A 19,322-nucleotide genomic window follows, 5' to 3' on the forward strand; every position below is an offset into this window, starting at 1 on the left:
AATGGCCTAATCCACTTACAGAGGAGGGTGTGCAATGTTAGTCCCCTTTTTGCCTCCTTTTATGGGACAGCACATTCCATTTTTGGATCGTCATCACCTAGAGAAAGGTCTTCCTTAATACTGAATTGTCTTTGTATCCTTTTAGCACCTTTCTTAAGTTTAACCCTAAGTGGTCTCATAGAATGTCATTTTTCCGTCCACACGACGTCTTCACTGATATCTGTGACTTTAGTTGAAGGGGCTGAAGATATTGGGAAGAATAATTCAATTTTTTCCTTCCTCCGTCCCTCCCTCCCTCCCTTCCTTCCTTCCTTTTTTTTTTTTTTTCTTTGAGCTGGGGAGCTGGGTGAGGCTTCTGTGGATTCCCAAGAGGTATTTGTGGCGTGAATGGAGCAAAGGTGATGTTTCACTTCATCACGTCCAGCACTGTCCCAAGGTTAAATGGGCGCGTGAGGACAGTTTTCTCCGGTCCTGGCGGGTTTGCCCACCTGCCGGCCAGCGTTCTGCGGGAGTCAAGCCTGGAAAGCGTGTGTGCGGCGCACAGGCGTCAGACACTGGAACGCATTCGAATGGTGCTATTCTTTGCCACATAGCGAGCACTTTATAAGGTCACTTATCGTCCCGAATGAATGGTTAAATCGTGGAAGCCGCAAAGAAAGCCACGCAGCTTTGACTCAATACCTAGCCCAGTACTCAGGAACCCCTCTCAGGGGTGCGCGAGCGGGGCCGGAATCAAGAAGCCTCTTTTGGGGTGGGCGGGGACCGATCTAGAGCTCCCACTGCGGGGCACCGCCTCTTTTCCTCGCCGGCCGCCCGCTAGGAGGCGCTGGGGAGCTTGCAGCCCACCTGCGAGGCGGTCCCGCTCTCCCCACCCCTCAGCCCGCGCCCGGCGGAGAGACTACAACTCCCGGAGTGCTCTGGGAACGGAGCCACGGGAGCTACAGGCGGAGGGACCCGAGGGCGGGCTTTCCGGGTGTGTGTTTCCGGCGTCGGCGGCCGCGGCCGGGGACGGTGTGAGAGCGGTAAGATGGCGGCGGCGGCGGTGGTGGAGTTCCAGAGAGCCCAGTCTCTACTCAGCACCGACCGGGAGGCCTCCATCGACATCCTCCACTCCATCGGTAAAGGTCGCCGCGCCGCCTCCCCGGCCCCGCCGGCCCAGCTCGGCTTATGTCGGTCGGCGGCAGCGGAGAGGGGCCCGGCTAGCCGGCTCTGATGCTGCTGACTCACTGTGTGAGGGGGGCCGGGCCGGGGGCGCAGGCCGCTCGGAGCTCCCCAGAGCCTCCCAGGTCTCACTCTTGTGGGAGGGCTTGAGGCAATCCCCGGGTCCCCTCGCCGGCTGCTGACTCACGGGGGGCTCAGCGTAGGGTGGGAGAGTGGGCCGAGCCGGGCCCCCGGGGATCCCTCCCTAGCCATGTCCCCGGCTCTGGCCCGCACGAGCTGGTCTGGGACCCGGAGCAGTGCCGGCCGGCGTGCTTGTCACGGACTGGTCCTAGAGTCTCTACTTGAAAGGCCTTGGCGAAACCAGCTCTGGACAGGCATTTCCCGCCGTTGTAATCAGCACAGCCTGCTCCGGGTGGGAGCGCGAGCGCTTGCTCTTCTCTGGGAGTTTCCTTCCACGGGACGCTGGGAGCTGCTACTCCTCAGCCCCACGGCAGAAAGCTCCACTAAGAGGAGGGTCTCTTTCAGAATGTGGGAAATTCAGGGGTGACACACACCTCAGATTGGCATTTGGTTTGTGGAGGTGGCCGAGACGCTCATCTGCTCTGTGTAGGGTGTAAGAGTGAGGTGTTGGAGCGGGACCGCCTGGCTAGAGGAGGTGACTAATCTTTCCAGACTGCCTGTAGGGGTTGGAAGTGAGTTAAGGGAGTTAGTTGTCAGCCGCGGAGTTCAGGGAATTCTTTGGAACGGGTCGGCTGCATGTTGCCGGAAAAATTAAAATTTCTTAACGCTGTAATAACGATGGTCTTACACCTACACACAACAGGAAAACTGAAATGGGAATCCCAGCCAGTCGCTTCCGGCAGCTTTCTGTTGGGATTCAAGTGTGAACAGAAATTTATTACGACAGAAGAAGACGTTAATGTTCACTCATAAAGGATTCAATTAGGGCTTGGACTAGCTCTTCACTGCACATGTAATGGCATCTTTGTAGTGTAGTTTGGGAAGATCTGAATTGGCTCAACAAGTAGTATGAGAATGCACCTGTATGTGGGACTTGCAAGATGTTGGCATTTGACTTAGTGTGTTGAATTTTGGTATTCCAGACCTGCACGGAGAAAGGACAATGACAAGATCTTGATACTTTATCATTGGGGATACTAGAGAAGGAGAGGAAGTGGGCGTCAAGGTGTATCTTTGAATGATATTGGTAAAAGGTGTTTCATTTTAAAAGTTCTGATCTTAGGTCAGTTACTTCTACGGAACCAGAGTCATCTCAATCACCGTTACATGGATATTTTATTCTGAGTACACACTATTATTTAGAACTAATGTGAGGAGCATGAATTTTAATAGTCTGTGTCTAGTGTCTAATATTTTTTCTTTCATAAAGTAGAAATTACGTCAAATATTACAATTAGAGTATTTCCTGTTGGCCCACTATTCTAGGGGAGAGTTCCCTGAAAGCTTCACTGTTAGAGCAAGCTTGAGTCATGGTGGTTGACGGCCTTACTTTTTCTGGACTCCATCATGGTTTTTGTCAAGTCATGATGCTTTGTAAGAGTAGTAGTAACTAGTGATGATCACTACAAACTTGGAGAGGCTATTCCATGTTTGAATGTTAAAATAGTTATTAACTGTTGAAAATAGGACAGATAGCACAAAGTTATTTTAACAGACCTCAATGCATTAAAAAGCAGCAGTCTCCCCTAAGTGTAGCTGTGCAGGATCTGGGGCTTTGATAGAGTTGTTTTTCTTGAATGGCTTTATAGACCTGCTTATCCCTAACACACCCATCAGCTGAGGCTTTGCACAGACCTAAAGTTTATTGAAACGCTTTTGACTTACAGGCATCAGTAACTTGGTCAATTGATTTTAGTTTGTGGCATAAACGCACAGGCATGTTTAATATCTTCCCATAAAATAGTGACTGGAACAGATCTTGGCACCATAAGTATGAAGGATTTGTTTTGTTTTAATTTCACTTTAACCAAGTGACCACAACAGAAACTTAGTGTATGTAGGTAAGCAAAATTCTGCTGGGTAGAATGAAAAGGCACATTTAAAATCAAAGAGAAGAATCCTTTTTTTATGATTTACATGGAGCATATTCTACGTATATATGATCTTTTTTTTTTCCTGGCTTAGAGTTTTTTTTTTTTTTTTAACTCTAGAATTTGTCTTTTGGTAAATATGTTTGAGTTTGTAATGGATCTTATGAGGGTGAAATTTCCCTCAGTCTTCATTTTTTGGTCAGAATTTTAAGAGGGTTTGCATTTTCCTCTCCCAGTGAAGCGTGACATTCAGGAAAACGATGAAGAGGCAGTGCAAGTCAAAGAGCAGAGCATCCTGGAACTGGGATCTCTCCTGGCAAAGACTGGACAAGCTGCAGGTAAGTGCTACACATGGATTGTATCTGAAATGCTCAGTGAAATTCCTGTCTTTTGTTGGAGTGAAGAATCATGGGACTGATCCACAAACTGAATTCAGCTTTATTTTCTTGGCAACTTGTTGAGCTTCAGTTTTTTAGCAGGCAATTAAGTGGCCTTTAAACTCACTTCTTTCCTGGTAGTTTAGTTTTGCAAATGAGAGACAATCTTATTTTTGTTGGGATATAGTGATTTCTGATTTGTTTCTGGTTTTTGAATTCTCACTGTATTCCCTTACATAGAGGCAGCAACAGTCTTCAATAATTTCACTGAGCAACTCTGATGTATTTAAGATAGATAACAACTTTAAGCGCCTGATTTAAAAATGACAAAGGATTTTGTATCCAAGTGACTCACTGTCATTTTTTTTTGATAGATTCAGAATGAGAATGAATAAGACATTAAATGGAGCCTTCCCAAGACTTCTGCATTCATACCTAGGACTTTGTGCACATCATTGCTCAAACATTCTAGTTGTAATTGAACCATTGACTGATTAGATTTGACATAATATTCTGATGATGGGTGTGTCCTTGGAATGAGAAGGGAGTCCTTTTGATCAGGAAGGACCTTTTACCAGTAAAGTGGTAATAGTATTTAGAGAGAAGTCTGTTTAAACTTAAATGGGTGATTTTTGTCAAGTTTAAAGTGAATTTAGAGCTTATTTGATTAGATTGGATTAAGATCTGGTAAGTGACCTCATGAATTATTTTCCCTAAAATTATGTTGTTCAAGAGAATGATGGGGGTTAGTTAGCACAACTTCTTCAACTTGAGAACTAAAGATTTTTTTTTTCTTTTTCTTTTTTTTTTTTTGAGACGGGGTCTTGCTGTGTCACCCGGGTTGGAGTGCAGTGGTGCGATCTTGGCTCACTGCAACCTCCGCCTCCTGGGTTCAAGCGATTCTCCTTCCTCAGCCTCCGGAATAGCTGGAATTACAGGCACGCGCCACCAAGCCTGGCTAATTTTTGTATTTTTAATAGAGACGAGGTTTCACTGTGTTGATCAGGCTGGTCTTGAACTCCTGACCTCATGGTCCACCCACCTCGGCCTCCGAAAGTGCTGGGATTCCAGGTGTGAGCCATTGTGCCCGGCCAGTGATTTTTTTCAATTAAAGATAACTAACTTATTAATTATTAGGCTCAGTCTATAGAGCTGAATAAAGATGTATGAAATTGTGAGGATGTGTTTACATGGGCCTTATATCTTACTTAAAACATCATTAAGTAGCTATAAAAAGAACCATCCATAATGGTTTTTGAGTGCTATGAACTTTTTTTTTTTTAATTATTATTATTTTTGAGACAGAGTTTTGCTCTTGTTGCCCAGGCTGGAGTGCAAATGGTGCGATCTCGGCTCACTGCAACCTCTGCCTCCCAGGTTCAAGCGATTCTACTATCTCAGCCTCCCGAGTAGCTGGGATTGCCAGCATGCGCCACTATGCCCGGCTAATTTTGTATTTTTTTTTTTAGTAGAGGCGAGGTTTCACCATGTTGGTCAGGCTGGTCTTGAACTCCTGACCTCAGGTGATCTACCTGCCTTGGCCTCCCAAAATGATGGGATTACAGGTGTGAGCCACTGCACCTGGCCAAGTGGTTACTCTTCTAAACACATACATGGTTTAACTTAATTGAATCCTCGAAACAACTTGAAGTAGGTTTTGTTACCATTTTACACATGAGGATACTGAGCACAGAAAAGTTAAATAACTTAACAAAGCTCATTCAACTAATAACTGGTAGACCTAGGATTTGAGCTCATGTAGTCTTACTTCAGAGCCCATATAGCCACATGACATCATGGTTATTGCTTTCCTATAACTGTCTACTTAAATGAATTATCATTGGTGGGTGGTGTCTTTTCATCTTAGGCTGACTTCCTTCCTATTTAACATACATAAGGATTCCACTTGTCTGTCAGTTAATTTGAGCTTGGGGGGTTCCAAAACAGTTTTGATAATTACTCCATGCAAAATATAATAAGGTAATTTTTCTGAATTATAAAGCCAACTGAAGTGATGTGAAAATTTTTTTTGTTGTTAGCCAGGCGTGATGGCTCATGCCTGTAATCCCAGCACTTTGGTAGGCTGAGGTAGGAGGATCCCTTGAGCCCAGGAATTTGAGACCAGCTCTGGCAACATAATGAGACCCTGTCTCTACAAAAAATAGAAAAATTAGCTGGGTGTGGTGTTATGTGCCTGTAGTCCCAGCTACTCTGGAGGCTGAGGTGGGAGGATTGCTTGAGCCGAGGAGGTTGAGGCTGTAGTGAGCTATGGTCACACTGCCGTGCTCTAGCCTGGGTGACAGAGCAAGACCCTGTCTCAAAAAAAGATTTTTTTGTTGTTGAAATATCCAAATTTCTACTTTCCTCCAGTGGCATGAATTAAGAACAGTGTGTGGTATATAGTCAATACTTAAGTAATTTTCATCCAAAAATGTTACTGTTTTGCTTGAAATTCCTATTTTATATGTATTCTCCCCTTATTTCTTGCCCTTCCTGCCTTGTGACCTGAGAAGTTTAGAAGTGTACTGCTAAAGCTATTGGAATTTAATAGATGAATTATAAGAACTTTCAAAAACATTTCCATGTTACTTATTGTTTTCTAAGAAAGTTTGATGAGTATAGGTATACACAATGGGAACTCTAAGGAAGTGTTGAGGCCTACATATATTTAGCTGTCTTTGCTATTAATGATATGTTTGTATTGTTTGCTCCTGAGAACAGAAAATATGTCTGTTCCATTAATGTTCAGTTTTTTTATGCATTTAATAAATGCATAGCATTGTGCTAAGTATTCTACTCAAAAATTTAAGATAGGATCCCTGGCCAACAAAAATCACTTGGGGATTACCAAATAAAACAATGTCTGATGTGTAATTGTGATTGCAAGTAGTGTTAGTAGTGTTGAGCATCATCAGACATGATGCCTTGGCTCAGGATTTCATAGCCTAAAACTTCTAAAAGGAATCTGTTGAGTTCTGTGAGGTCCTGCCTCAGGCTCCCAAGTGGCTGGAACTACAGGCGCCCACCACCACCCCCGGTTAATTTCTGTATTTTTAGTAGAGGCGGAGTTTCATCATGTTGTCCAGGCTGATCTTGGGCTCCTGACCTCAAATGATCCACCCACCTCAGCCTTTCAAAGTGTTGTGATTATAGGCATGAGCCACTGTGCCTGGCCTTTTTTTTTTTTGAGACCGAGTTTCATTCTGTTGCCCAGGCTGGAGTGCAGTGGTGTGATCTCGGCTCACTGCAACTTCTGCCTCCTGGGTTCAAGCAATTCTCGGGCCTCAGCCTCCCCAAGTAGCTGGGACTACAGGCGTGAGCCACCATGCTCGGCTAATTTTTTTTTTTTTTTTTTTCTTTTAGTAGAGACGAGGTTTCACCATGTTGGCCAGGCTGGTCTTGGACTCCTGACCTCAGGTGATCCACCCGCCTTGGCCTCCCAAAGTGCTGGGATTCCAGGTGTGAGCCACCGCGCCCAGCCAAGTTCTGTGAGGTTCTGACAAGGAAAATCTGGTCATATAATTACAGATAATCCCAGTAAGAATAGGAGGAAGTCAGTATGATTTTATGGGACTTAAAAAAAAATTAACTCAGTATGTATGAAAGTGGAAGGAAACAGGAAATACAAACAAGAATGAATATAAAACAGTAGTAGACTAAAACAGATGATGAACTGAGTCTGAAAAATGCAGGTGGGCACAGTGGCTCACACCTGTAATCCCAGGACTTTGGGAAGCTGAGGTGGGAGGATTGCTTGAAGCCAGGAGTTATGTGGACCAGTTTGGACCACACAGCAAAGACCCTATCTCTGTTAAAAAAAATTTTTTTTTTTTAAAGCAGCATGGGTAACATAAGGAGACCACATATCTACAAAAAAGATAAAAAAATTGACTGGGTGTGGTGGTGCGTGCCTGTGTCCCAGGTACTTGGGAAACAGAGGCAGGAGGATCACTTGAGCCTGGGAAGTCAAGGCTGCAGTGAGCCACAATTGTGCCATTGTACTACAGCCTGGGTGACTGAGTGAGGCTCTTTCTCAAAAAAAAAAAAAAAGAAAAAAGAAAAAGACATGTAGGGGGACAACTAAGAGATCATTTGCTTCTTTCGGCGTAAGAAGGATAACACTCAGTGCTTAGAGAAAATATTGTAAGGCTAGCAGGTGTTAGAAAGGCACACTGCTTAGCTCATATTTCACTTCTGCCTTTTCTAGGAAGGAAAATGATTTTCAAACTGCAAAAGATAGAAATAACAGCAGAAAGAGATAATTAATGGTAGGTGAGAGAAGACAGAGCAGATAGTCTCTGTAAATAAGTTCAGGTCTCTAGGCTCTAACAGTTTCTTTTATTATCAAAAAAATAGTTTTAGCAGATATAACTATAGAGCCATATATTATTCTGAGAAAAATCATGGAGAGGTATAAGGAAGATGAGGCAAATGTTATCCTGCCTTTCAAGAGGGTAATGCAAAGAATAGATGTATTCACTGTGTGCTGCACATTGAAATAAAGAAATTAAAAATAAAGAGTAGACACTATACATGGTCATCAGTGGTAGAGTTCTGGGACAGATTATTTGATAAGGAGATAGTAATCTCTTAAAAAAAAGTGGATTTATTGTGAACAGATTATTCCAAATTCACCTTAGTTCTCTCTGTTTTGTTTTGTTTTGTTTTTTTGAGACAGAGTCTCACTTTGTCACCCAAGCTGGAGTGCAGTGGCACAACCTTGGCTCACTGCAGCCTCGACCTCCTGGGCTCAAGCAGTGCTCTTGCCTCAGCCCGCCAAGTAACTGGGACTACAGGCCTTCACCACCATGCCTGGCTAATTTTTGTAGAGAGGGGGTTTCGCCATATTGCCCAGGCTGGTCTTAAACTCCTGGGCTCAAGCAGTCTGCCTGTCTTGGCCTTCCAAAGTGCTAGGATTATAGGTGTGAGCCACTGCACCCAGCCTAGTTCTCTTTTTGGTTAGCTTTATCAGACCCATAGATTTTCAGGGGTCTGCATGCCACCTGTTTTTGTAAATAAAGTTTTATTGGAACAAAGCCACGCCCATTTGTTTCCACATTGTGTGTGACTGGCTGAGTTCAGGACCTGCTACTAAGACCATATAACCTGTGAAGCCAAAAAAATTTACTATCTGGCTCTTCACAGAAAAAGTTTGCCAGCCTCTGGATTAGAGGAATGATATAGACTGTATATCTGATGTAAGCAGGGTAGTTGAACATTTGCCATAATATTAATATCACAGGTACAGGTTATGAATTTACAATGGGCTGAATAACTGTATCCAAAACATGTTAATAAATGGATCATTTGTCAACCTGAAGGGAAGTCTTCAGGCATTGTGTCATGAGGATCTGTCCTTGTTTTTCTGGTCAGCATCTGGAATCATGGTTAAAGCCATTTCAGAAGGGATGCTTATTTTTGTAGATGACTCAGTACAGTTAGAAGACAGAATTAAAATTCACAGTTATTGCCAAAGCCAGGAAGATTAAATTCAGTTGCGATAAGGATTAAATTATATACTTAAAGTATTTTTCAAAACAGAGGAAGTTGGGGGAATTACCTGTTTTGACAGTAGTCTATTAAAAAGAACTTTAATGGGCTCAGTCTGAACAAAGAGAGGTGTTAGAAAAAGCAAAACATGCTATCTTGTGTTACATATCATGGCCAGATCAAGAGAATTAAATTGCCTCCTGGTCTACTGTCAGACCCTACCTGGAGCAATCGTTTTCATTTCTGGGTACCACAAAATACCACAAGTAGTACCTTTACAAAGTAGAGTTTGTTCAGAGGAGAGCAACTAAGTTACCTAGAAACAAGGACTTCGGAGGAACAGTTGAAATAGCCAAAGATGTTAAGCTTGGATAAAGGGAAAATTAGGGAAATGTAAATGATAATTATCTTTAAGTATTTAAAGCCATGTGAAAGAAGGTATAGATTTGTGTTTTGTGTTTCAAAAAGGAATAATTTGTTTTGGCCAACATTGGAATAGGCTGCTTTGTGAACATTTCTGTGACTAGAAATCATTCAGAATTGTTCAGGCACAGGAGGAAATTCTGTGGGAGAAGGGACATTGCTTCAGACTACTTTTAAAAAGCTATCATTACATAATATAATTGAAATAAATGCAAAAGGAATTTGAGGGGGAGAATCACTGTAGACTGGAGTTACATGGGAAACTCAATAGGACTTCAGATGGACCTAAAAGGATATATAAGGTTTATATAGACTGAGAAGATGGCAAGACATTTCAGATGGGATTATGGCATTAGTGCCTCTTGAAAGCAGGAGTATATACTGTAGTCTTGTGCAGAGGTGAATGAGGTGGCAGAATGGCGAAAAGTTTTAAACATTGGGAATCAAAGGTCATTACTGGGGAGTGAAGGGAAAAGATGAACTTTTCTACTCTATATCAAGTTCTTAAGTACCGGACACAGTCCCATGCATTCTCTGACTATTCAGGCAGATGAGGATTTCAGGGCCTTGAATTAGCATTCTCTGGAGGGTGAGGTTTGCTTGCCCTGAATTAGAGTTCTCAGGAGGGTGAGTCTGCAATTGGAGAATATTAAAGAGGCAGTGGCACTAAAGTAATTTTAACCTACATTCCAAAATACCTCCTTAGTTGTTGAGTTGAACCATTCTCTAATTTTTACTATTTGACAAGCATATCTCTAGTTTATTGTTTCAAAAGATGTTTCTTTAGAGTTCATATACTGCCCTCTTCTATATAGTGGGGGAAAAGCTCTGTGATGGATCCCTTTTTTGGTCATAGTTTAAGACTTAGGTTTTGAAGATTAATGAGGAATTTAAAAGAGATATAGCAGCACTTTAAGGGCAAAACACTCTTCTATGTGAAAAGTTTATTCAGAAGAGTGCCAGGGAAGTGACAATGCAGAAAGGCTAAACTGGGGAGCACTGCAGAAAGACAGGAAAAAGGAATCTGGAGTAGAAAATCTCTGTCTAAGGGGAACAGCTGAAGCAGACTTGGAAGTTAGAAAAAAATTACCCCTATGACCTGATCATATTTATTGGTTGTGAGGAAGTAATTTTGTGAAGGTGGCAGGGACACAGCATATTTCATGTTCTAGAAAACTGGTTTTTGAGATTATGAATACTTTGCTGTTTATCTTTCATTAAGATGGATAAATGAAGCAGAGACATGAGCTTTTCCTGCAACTTCATAGTAATCCAGTGGCTGAGTAGGGAACAGAATGCAAATTTGGTATATGATGTTAACTTATTTTTGCTATTCTGCTATTTGCTAGGAATGCTTTAAACTCCTAGTAAGTTTCACTTAGACTGATTCCAGTGATGTAAGTACCGATTTTTATGACGTTGGGTCAGTTTCTTAAGTGGGTATTTTGTCTCAAATGTTGATGTTTACTCCTCTTTTTGAATTGCCTTTCCTACAGAGCTTGGAGGACTCCTGAAGTATGTACGACCCTTCTTGAATTCCATCAGCAAGGCTAAAGCAGCTCGCCTGGTCCGATCTCTTCTTGATCTGTTTCTTGATATGGAAGCAGCTACAGGGCAGGAGGTAAGTGATATTAATGACAGAAAGTAGACAATATGGAGAAAAGTTTGTTTCCAAGAAAGAAATGCCTACCTGCACTTTAGTACTAATGTGGAAGGGAAAACTGGGAGGACAGCGCAGGACTTATCATGTCAGTTTCTCTTTGTTACAGGGCATTTGATACTTTGGGTCTGTTCCATGCTTTGCTTTGTAAGTGGAGATTGTCAGTGGTCCCTGGAATCCTCATTACATCAGGGTCACAAACTGATTCTTGTCTTTGAGGTATTGTATTGCCACACCTTTGTAATGTTTTCTGTGTCTGTGGTACCTTTCATCTTGTGTCACAAAGCTCCTTCTGAGCACTAATTAAGTCTTGTGGTATTCCTTCTTAGCATGTTTTGTACTGCATATATGCCTTTATTGAGGGGTGAGCATCCATCCATTTGTGTCTCATTGTGCAGAAGTGACTCTGGTGTTCCTGTATGTGTCCCACAAGTTCAGACTAGACCCTGAGCTGTATTAAAGAGTGCTTCTCAGTAATCACTGAATCTTCCAACCTTCTCAAAGATAACTGTATTTTCTGCAATTCAGGAAGAGACGCATACCAAAATTAAACATCATTCTGTAAAAAGTGGCAGATTGAAGCAGGGTATATTGTCATTGCTTGAATCTGTTTGTAGGAAGAATATAGTTGTTGTTTTTCTTATGGATATATTGATCAGTACTCATTGAGTGCCTGCTACGTGTTAGGCACTGTTTTAGGTATTGGGGATACAGTTGTAAAAACACAGTCACTGTTGTCATGAGGATTATTTTTTAACGGGGAACGCAGGCAATAAACAAATGTAAAATGGCAGATAATATAAGGGCAGAATTGCTAGTTGGTTATATGTCTGATTGTTTGCTGTAGCCTCTGTGGGCGTGAAAGGTATGAAAGGCCATAGTAGCATATTGAATAAATGGGAATTTCAGAAACCTAGGACACATGGATCCTACTTTGGAATCATACCTTTTGTAAAATCTGGCTTTAATGATTCTTTGAATCCTGATTTAAACACTATATACTAACTTTATTTGTAGAAAATTCATTTGTAGAGTAGTCTTCAGATTTATGTCTCTGGCAAAACTGTTTGATGATAGTATATAAAAAGTTAGATGGCTATTTTGAATTAAAGTGTCAGTTATTTTAATGAAAAAATTAAAAGTTATTTAGGGTATTAGTCTTATCTAACTTTTTTTAAAAATTGTACTTTAAAAAACTCATGAGTCCGGGTGCGGTGGCTCACGCCTGTAATCCCAGCACTTTGGGAGGCCAAGGCAGGTGGATCACGAGGTCAGGAGATTGAGACCATCCTGGCTAACATGGTGAAACCCCGTTTCTACTAAAAATAAAAAAAAATTAGCCAGGTGTGGTGGTGGGCGCCTGTAGTCCCAGCTACTTGGGAGGCTGAGGCAGGAGAATGGCGTGAACCCGGGAGGCGGAGCTTGCAGTGAGCCGAGATCACGCCATTGCACTCCAGCCTGGGTGACAGAGCGAGACTCTGTCTCAAAAAAAAAAAAAAAAAAAAAATCATGAAAGTGATACCATTCTTTGTTTGAAATAGAGTACCTTAAAATAGACTGATCAGTAAATGTTAATTTGAAACTGACTGATAAATGTTACTTGGAAGTTTTTGGGCAGAAAAGTTAATTATGGAAGCTGCTCCTTTTTGCACACTGAAGTTTCTGAAATTATCCATCCCCATAACCTAGAGCTCACTCAGCGGATAGAACAGCATTTATTTTTTTTTATTGGTGACAGAGTTTCACTCTTGTTGCCCAGGCTGGAGTGCAATGGCGTGATCGTGGCTCACTGCAACCCCCGCCTCCCGGGTTCAAGGGATTCTCCTGCCTCAGCCTTCTGAGTAGCTGGGACTACAAACATGCATCACCATGCCTGGCTATTTTTTTTTGAGACGGAGTCTCGCTCTGTCGCCCAGGCTGGAGTGCAGTGGCACGATCTCGGCTCACTGCAAGCTCCGCCTCCTGGATTCATGCCATTCTCCTGCCTCAGCCTCCCCAGTAGCTGGGACTACAGGCGCCCGCCACCACGCCTGGCTAAGTTTTTGTAATTTTTTAGGAGAGATGGGGTTTCACAGTGTTAGTCAGGATGGTCTTGATCTCCTGACCTCGTGATCTGCCTGCCTCGGCCTCCCAAAATGCTGGGATTACCGGCGTGAGCCACCGTGCCTGGCCCTAATTTTGTATTTTTAGTAGAGACGGGGTTTCACCATGTTGGTCAGGCTGGTTTTGAACTCCTGACCTCAGATGATCCACCCGCCTTGGCCTCCCAAAGTGCTGGGATTACAGGCGTGAGCCACTGTGCCTGACTTGCATTTATTTAATGATCATTTCTCCTGTTCCTTTGTGGAAATCCATTCAAGTGCTCTGCTATAGTTCGCTAGTAGGATTTCCTGGCCTTTGTCATATGGCTCCCTGACTGGTTAGGCGCTCCCTTAACTGTGGTTATATGTTGTCATTGTTCATTGCACATTACATTTATATAAAGTAAAGACCTTTCTTCCTTTCCTTAGGGTGAAAGGAAACACTTTTAGGCATTGTATCATTTTATCATCAGTGTCATTTTACTTTTTAGTAAAGGCTGTTTTTGTTTTCGTTTTTTGAGACAGCCTTGCTCTGTTGCCCAGGCTGGAGTGCAGTGACACAATCTTGGCTCACTGCAGCCTCAACCTCCTGGAGTCAAGTGATCCTCTTGCTTCAGCCTCCTGAGTAGCTGGAACTACAGGCATGCACCACCACACTCGGCTAATTTTTGTATTTTTGTAGAGATGAGGTTTTGCCATGTTGCCCAGGCTGGTCTTAAACTCCTAGTCTCAAATGATCTGCCTGCCTTGCCCTTCCAAGTCCTGGGATTACAGGCGTGCAGCACTACGCCCGGCTAAGGCTGATTTTTTTGATGGTTAGCAGCTTTGCTTTTATCATGAACCAGAGTCTTATTCCACTAAGTAGGACCTCTTTTGGTAATTTTTGTGGATTATAGGTTATTTGCTTGTTTTGGAGCAAATTGTGAATCATCCAGACTGTCTCACCTGCACCTCAGACTCAATATGGGCAACCTCAACATCCAGCCATTTGTTAAATTTTGTCAATTCAGCTTTCTTCATTGTCTGCTTCTCCACCTCTTTTGTATTTGTTCTCTCTCTCTCTTTTTTTTTTTTTCCCCGAGATGGAGTCTTGCTCTGTCACCCAGGCTGGAGTGCAGTGTTGCGATCTTGGCTCACTGCAACCTCTGCCTCCTGGGTTCAAGCAATTCTCCTGCCTCAGCCTCCCAAGTAGCTGGGATTACAGGTGCCCGCCACTGCACCTGGCTAATTTTTGTATTTTTAGTAGAGACGGAGTTTCACCATGTTGGCCAGGCTGGTCTCGAACTCCTGACCTTGTGATCTGCCGGCCTCAGCCTCCCAGAGTACTGGGATTATAGGCGTGAGCTACTGCGCCCAGCTGTGGTCTCTCTTTACAACTACCATCTAGTTTGGTTCTTAATTTTTTTTTACTTGGACTACTGTAAAAGCCTCATTCCATCATTGTCAGAGATACCTTACCAAATAGCCCTCTGATAATTTTATTCCTCTCCCTCTTCTCCCACAACTCAAACCTTCAGTGGCTTTCCATTGCCTGCAGAATTAGATAATTAATGGTTTTCTATAATACAACCTACTGCAACCTACTGCAGTAGTCTAATCTCCCAGGACTCTACTAAGCATATCAAATATGTCAGCCATGTTGGATCCCTGGCTGTTTGCTGAACAAGCCTGTATAACCCTCATGCTGTACCTTTCTCTTCCATAGTCTTATCTCAAGTTCTACCTCCTCTGAACTCTTTCCTTCCTGACTTTAATGTGGTTTTAACTCTTTCAGTGACTCACATTGTATTTTGTACATGCTCTGAGTATTCTGCCTTGTATGACAGTGGCTTTACACTTGCCTTGTCTCCTTTACTGTAATACAATCTCACTCAGGTGAAGCACTATGTGCCTTGCAGTACCACAGAGCCTTCCTCATTCCCAGTACAGTTCAAATTCCTTAACCATGGCTACCTCTGACCACATCCACTATACTAGTCTCCTTTTACTTTCTTTACAGCTGTAATTACTGGCCTTATTGCCTTATGCTTCAAACTGTCTGGGGTTGGGACATTCATATACATATGGATTGCTGTCAGCTTGATCTTAACAGGATTTTTTTTCTTTACACTGTTTCAAGTCTTTGCTCACATCTTACCTCCTCAGAGACTTTCCTTGATCACCCTATCTTTGTTTCCTTTTTAACAATATTTATTTTTTACAAAAATTAGCCAGGTGTGGTGGTGCATGCCTGTAATCCCAGGTACTCAGGTGGCTGAGGCACAAGAATCACTTGAATCCAGGAGGTAGAGGTTCCAGTGAGCCAAGATCGTGCCACTGCACTCCAGCCCGGGCAAGAGTAAGAAGAGTGAGAGTGTCTCAAAAAAAAAAAAATACATATATATATATATATATATATATGTATTTTTTTTTTTGCTTATATACTCTTAAGTTGTATCCCTAGCCCTTAGAGTACTTTGGCTTGAAGAAGCTGCATACCTATTTGTCAAAGGAATGTATGGACTGTGCCTGTGCCTTCCCTATGGTAGATGTGCAGTGGTATGCTCACAGCTCACTGCAGCCTCAACTTCCTGGGCTCAGGTGATTCTCCCACCTCAGCCTCCCAAATAACTGGGAGTACAGGTACACACCACGACGCCTGGCTAATTTTGTTTGTTTGTTTGTTTGTTTGTATTTTTAGTAGAGATGGGATTTTGCTATGTTGCTCAGGCTGGTCTCAAACTTCTGGGCTCAAGTGATCCTCTGGACTCGGCCTCCCAAAGTGCTGGGATTACAGATGTGAGACACCATGCCCAGCCAGGAAATACTTTGTTGAATTAAGATCTGAGTTTATTGAATTGAAATGTAAGCATGGGGTGTTGTTACTACATTCGTTTAGGTAACTCAAGGTCTCTGACTTGGGGAAATAGGATATAATTTTTATTCTTAGTTCTTTTTTCTTTTTGAGATGGAGTCTTACTCTGTCTCCCAGGCTGGAGTGCAGTGGTGTGATCTTGGCTCACTACAACTTCTGCCTCCCGGGTTCAAGTGATTCTCCTGCCTTAGCCTCCTGAGTAGCTGGGATTATAGTAGAGATGGGCTTTTGCCATGTTGGCCAGGGTGGTCTTGAACTTCTGACCTCAGGTGATCCGCCTGTCTTGGCCTCCCAAAGTGCCTGGTTTATAGGTGTGAGCCACCACACCCGGCCTTGTTCTTAGTTCTTTTAAAATTTTTTGACTGGGTGTTGGGAAAGAATAGACAAGCAAGTCATAGGTGGGAAAGAATAGACAAGCAAGACATACCATGGCTATCATGGTAGTATTGAGGCCTGAGGCAAAATGGGAAGTTTTATTTATTTGAAATGGGGGTCTTGGTCTGTGGCCCACGTTGGGGTGCAGGGTGCAATCGTAGTTCACTGTAACCTTGAACATCTGGGCTCAAGCATTTCTCCTGCCTCAGCCTCCCAAGTTGCTGGGACTGCAGATGTGCACCACTACACCTGGCTAATTAAAACAATTTTTTTGTAGAGATAGGGTCTTGCTATGTTGCCCAGGCTGGTCTCAAACTCCTGGCCTCAAGTGATCTGCTTGCCTCAGCCTCCCAAAGTGCCTGGATTACGGATGTGAGTCACTGTGCCTGGTTTAAATAAGACGTTTTAGAATACTGTTAAGACAGCTAGAATTTTGTGTTAAGGAGTTTGGTACTGAGAATATGAGGGAGGGGATTTCCCTTGCTTTTTTCTATTTGAGGACTAACTATAAGACAGATATATCTGGTCAGGCATGGTGGCTCACGCCTGTGGTCCCAGCACTTTGGGAGGCCGAGTGGGCGGATTGTGAGGTTAGGAGATCGAGACTATCCTGGCTAACACGGTGAAACCTTGTCTCTACTAAAAATACAAAAAATTAGCCAGGTGTGGTGGCGGGCGCCTGAAGTCCCAGCTACTGGGGAGGCTGAGGCAGGAGAATGGCGTGAACCCGGGAGGCGGAGCTTGCAGTGAGCGCCACTGCACTCCAGCCTGGGTGAGACACTGTCTCAAAAAAAAAAAAAAAGACAGATATATCTAGAGAACCATCTTCAGCTTGCTATTCCCAAAGTTGGTATGATTCAGGTTATGATCTGTTCATTTAAATGCAAGGTTTGGAGCCTAGAAAGTGAGGGCATGTGAGTCGGGGAGTGAGAGAGTGAGGATGGGTTGGTTGGCAAGGGCTGGGGAGTGGAAAAGTAAGGTGAAGAGGAGGGAAGGAAGACTGAACCAGACTCTTGCCAAATAGTGAACTCAACTTTCCTTCCAGGGATCTCTGGGGAGTAGCCTATGGGCAACTTTTCTGGTATAGTCTACCCAATTGAAACACAATAGCACTTTTTCTTTTTTTTGAGACGGAGTCTCGCACCGTCGCCCGGGCTGGAGTGCAATGGCATGATCTCGGCTCACTGCAACTTCTGCCTCCCAGGTTCATGTGATTCTCCTGCCTCAGCCTCCCGAGTAGCTGGGATTACAGGTGCACACCACCACACCCTGCTAATTTTTTGTATTTTTCGTAGAGATGGGGTTTCACTGTGTTGGCCAGACTGGTCTCGAACCCCTGACCTCGTGATCCGCCCGCTTTGGCCTCCCAAAGTGCTGGGATTACAGGCATGAGCCACTGTGCCCGACCCACAATAGCACGTTTTAAGAAACCTCTCTACTAAAAATACGAAAGTTAGCTGAGCATGGTGGCAGGCGCCTGCAATCCCAGCTACTCAGGAGGCTGAGGCAGGAGAAGTGCTTGAACCCAGGAGGTGGAGGTTGCAGTGACCTGAGATTGCGCCATTGCACTCCAGCCTGGGCATCAAGAGTGAGACTCTGTCTCAAAAGAAAAGAAAAAAAAAAAGGAAAAGGAAAAGAAAAAAAGAAAAAAGATATCCAGTTCGTGTAAAAAAAAAAAAATCCTTGCTGTAGGAGAAACATCTATGATGACCTTAACTTAAGGCTGGGTTAAGATAGGTAGAGTGCTGGAGTTAGGCACAAGTTCTGGTGCCAGCAGCAGATATATGTGATAGTCCAGATATTAACCGATTAGTAGTCCTTAGGTGAATTCATCTTATACAATTGTGATATAGCTTGCTTTTATTTTAGTTTTTCGTTCTGTCTTATTTTTAGAAAATTTTTATGAGGTCAGTTGAGTTTAGAGTTGGAGATTAGGTAGCCACCAGGGGGCTCCAATGAGGAGTTACAAAGGTTTTGCTGGTTCTCTTACTGGCAAATCCTCTGATGTTACCCGTCAGTTCACCTTAGGTGAATCACTTAGTGTCTGGACTATCAGGGAAATGGAGGCAGGTGAATTGCAGGAGTATAATTCATTGTTTCTTAATTAGAGATATACTTTCAATGACCAAGCTCTATTCTAGACTAATGAATCAACAGCCCAGGCATTCTTTTTTTTTGGTAGATGAGTGTGGTAAATGGTTTATTGAAATAAAACTTACAGAGGAATATTTCTAAGTCCTAGGTATTCATTTTTGTGTCCTTTGAAAAAACTCCCTGGGTAAAACTGTGGGGGGCACTTCTTACCCTTTGAAGTCATGTAGAACTAAACACTTATATTTCCTTTGCTAAGACTATTCAGAGAAATATTTTCAGTTCCATTTATATTAGAAATCTTACTTTGAATTTAGCTTTTCAGAATATAACTCAAAACTCTGCAATTGTGATAAAGCTTGCTTTTATTTTAGTTTTTGGTTCTGTCTTATTTTTAGGTAATTTTTATGAGGTCAGTTGAGTTTAGAGTTGGAGATTAGGTAGCCACCAGGGGGCTCCAGTGAGGAGTTGTAAAGGTTTTGTTGGTTCTCTTCCTGGTGAATCCTCTGAATACTGTGTAATGTTATCTATTAATTTATTTACAGAGCTAGAATTTAGGATCTAAAAGTAGAAGATCCTGTCAATTTGGATTATGTCCCTATAGTTTTTCCTTCTTACAGCATTTCTTTTCTTTTCTTTTTTTTGAGACGGAGTTTCACTCTTGTTGCCCAGGCTGGAGTGCAATGGTGCGATCTCGGCTCACCGCAACCTCCACCTCCCAGGTTCAAGGGATTATTCTACCTCAGCCTCCCGAGTAGC

At 43.0% G+C, this 19,322-nt stretch overlaps 1 protein-coding gene across 2 annotated transcripts in view, besides 4 other annotated features; it reads left to right on the top strand.

Annotated features, from left to right (window-relative positions):
* Nucleotides 734-903: a silencer, noted in NCBI's record as "silent region_8421". NCBI's record gives its function as "represses an Ori minimal core promoter by ATAC-STARR-seq in GM12878 lymphoblastoid cells {active_cell/tissue: GM12878}" and the evidence as "EXISTENCE:reporter gene assay evidence [ECO:0000049][PMID:35858748]".
* Nucleotides 734-1,410: a biological region, named in NCBI's record as "H3K27ac hESC enhancer GRCh37_chr17:30771309-30771924".
* Nucleotides 795-1,410: an enhancer, noted in NCBI's record as "H3K27ac hESC enhancer chr17:30771309-30771924 (GRCh37/hg19 assembly coordinates)". NCBI's record gives its function as "activates a minimal SCP1, AML or CMV promoter by ChIP-STARR-seq in primed H9 embryonic stem cells {active_cell/tissue: H9 hESC(primed)}" and the evidence as "EXISTENCE:reporter gene assay evidence [ECO:0000049][PMID:30033119]".
* The window catches only part of PSMD11 (proteasome 26S subunit, non-ATPase 11), a 38,810-nt gene continuing 20,501 nt past the window's right edge, over nucleotides 1,014-19,322 (top strand). For both annotated transcript variants that reach the window (NM_001270482.2, NM_002815.4), the window contains exons 1-3: nucleotides 1,014-1,118; nucleotides 3,449-3,550; nucleotides 10,999-11,123. In NM_001270482.2, the coding sequence (NP_001257411.1) occupies nucleotides 1,028-1,118; nucleotides 3,449-3,550; nucleotides 10,999-11,123 (318 nt within the window). In that variant the 5' untranslated portion in view covers nucleotides 1,014-1,027. The remainder of the gene's footprint in view (nucleotides 1,119-3,448; nucleotides 3,551-10,998; nucleotides 11,124-19,322) is intronic.
* Nucleotides 1,024-1,103: an enhancer, noted in NCBI's record as "active region_12030". NCBI's record gives its function as "activates an Ori minimal core promoter by ATAC-STARR-seq in GM12878 lymphoblastoid cells {active_cell/tissue: GM12878}" and the evidence as "EXISTENCE:reporter gene assay evidence [ECO:0000049][PMID:35858748]".

The sequence above is a fragment of the Homo sapiens genome, chromosome 17 (genome assembly GCF_000001405.40).
Source record: "Homo sapiens chromosome 17, GRCh38.p14 Primary Assembly".
Lineage (NCBI taxonomy): Eukaryota > Metazoa > Chordata > Mammalia > Primates > Hominidae > Homo > Homo sapiens.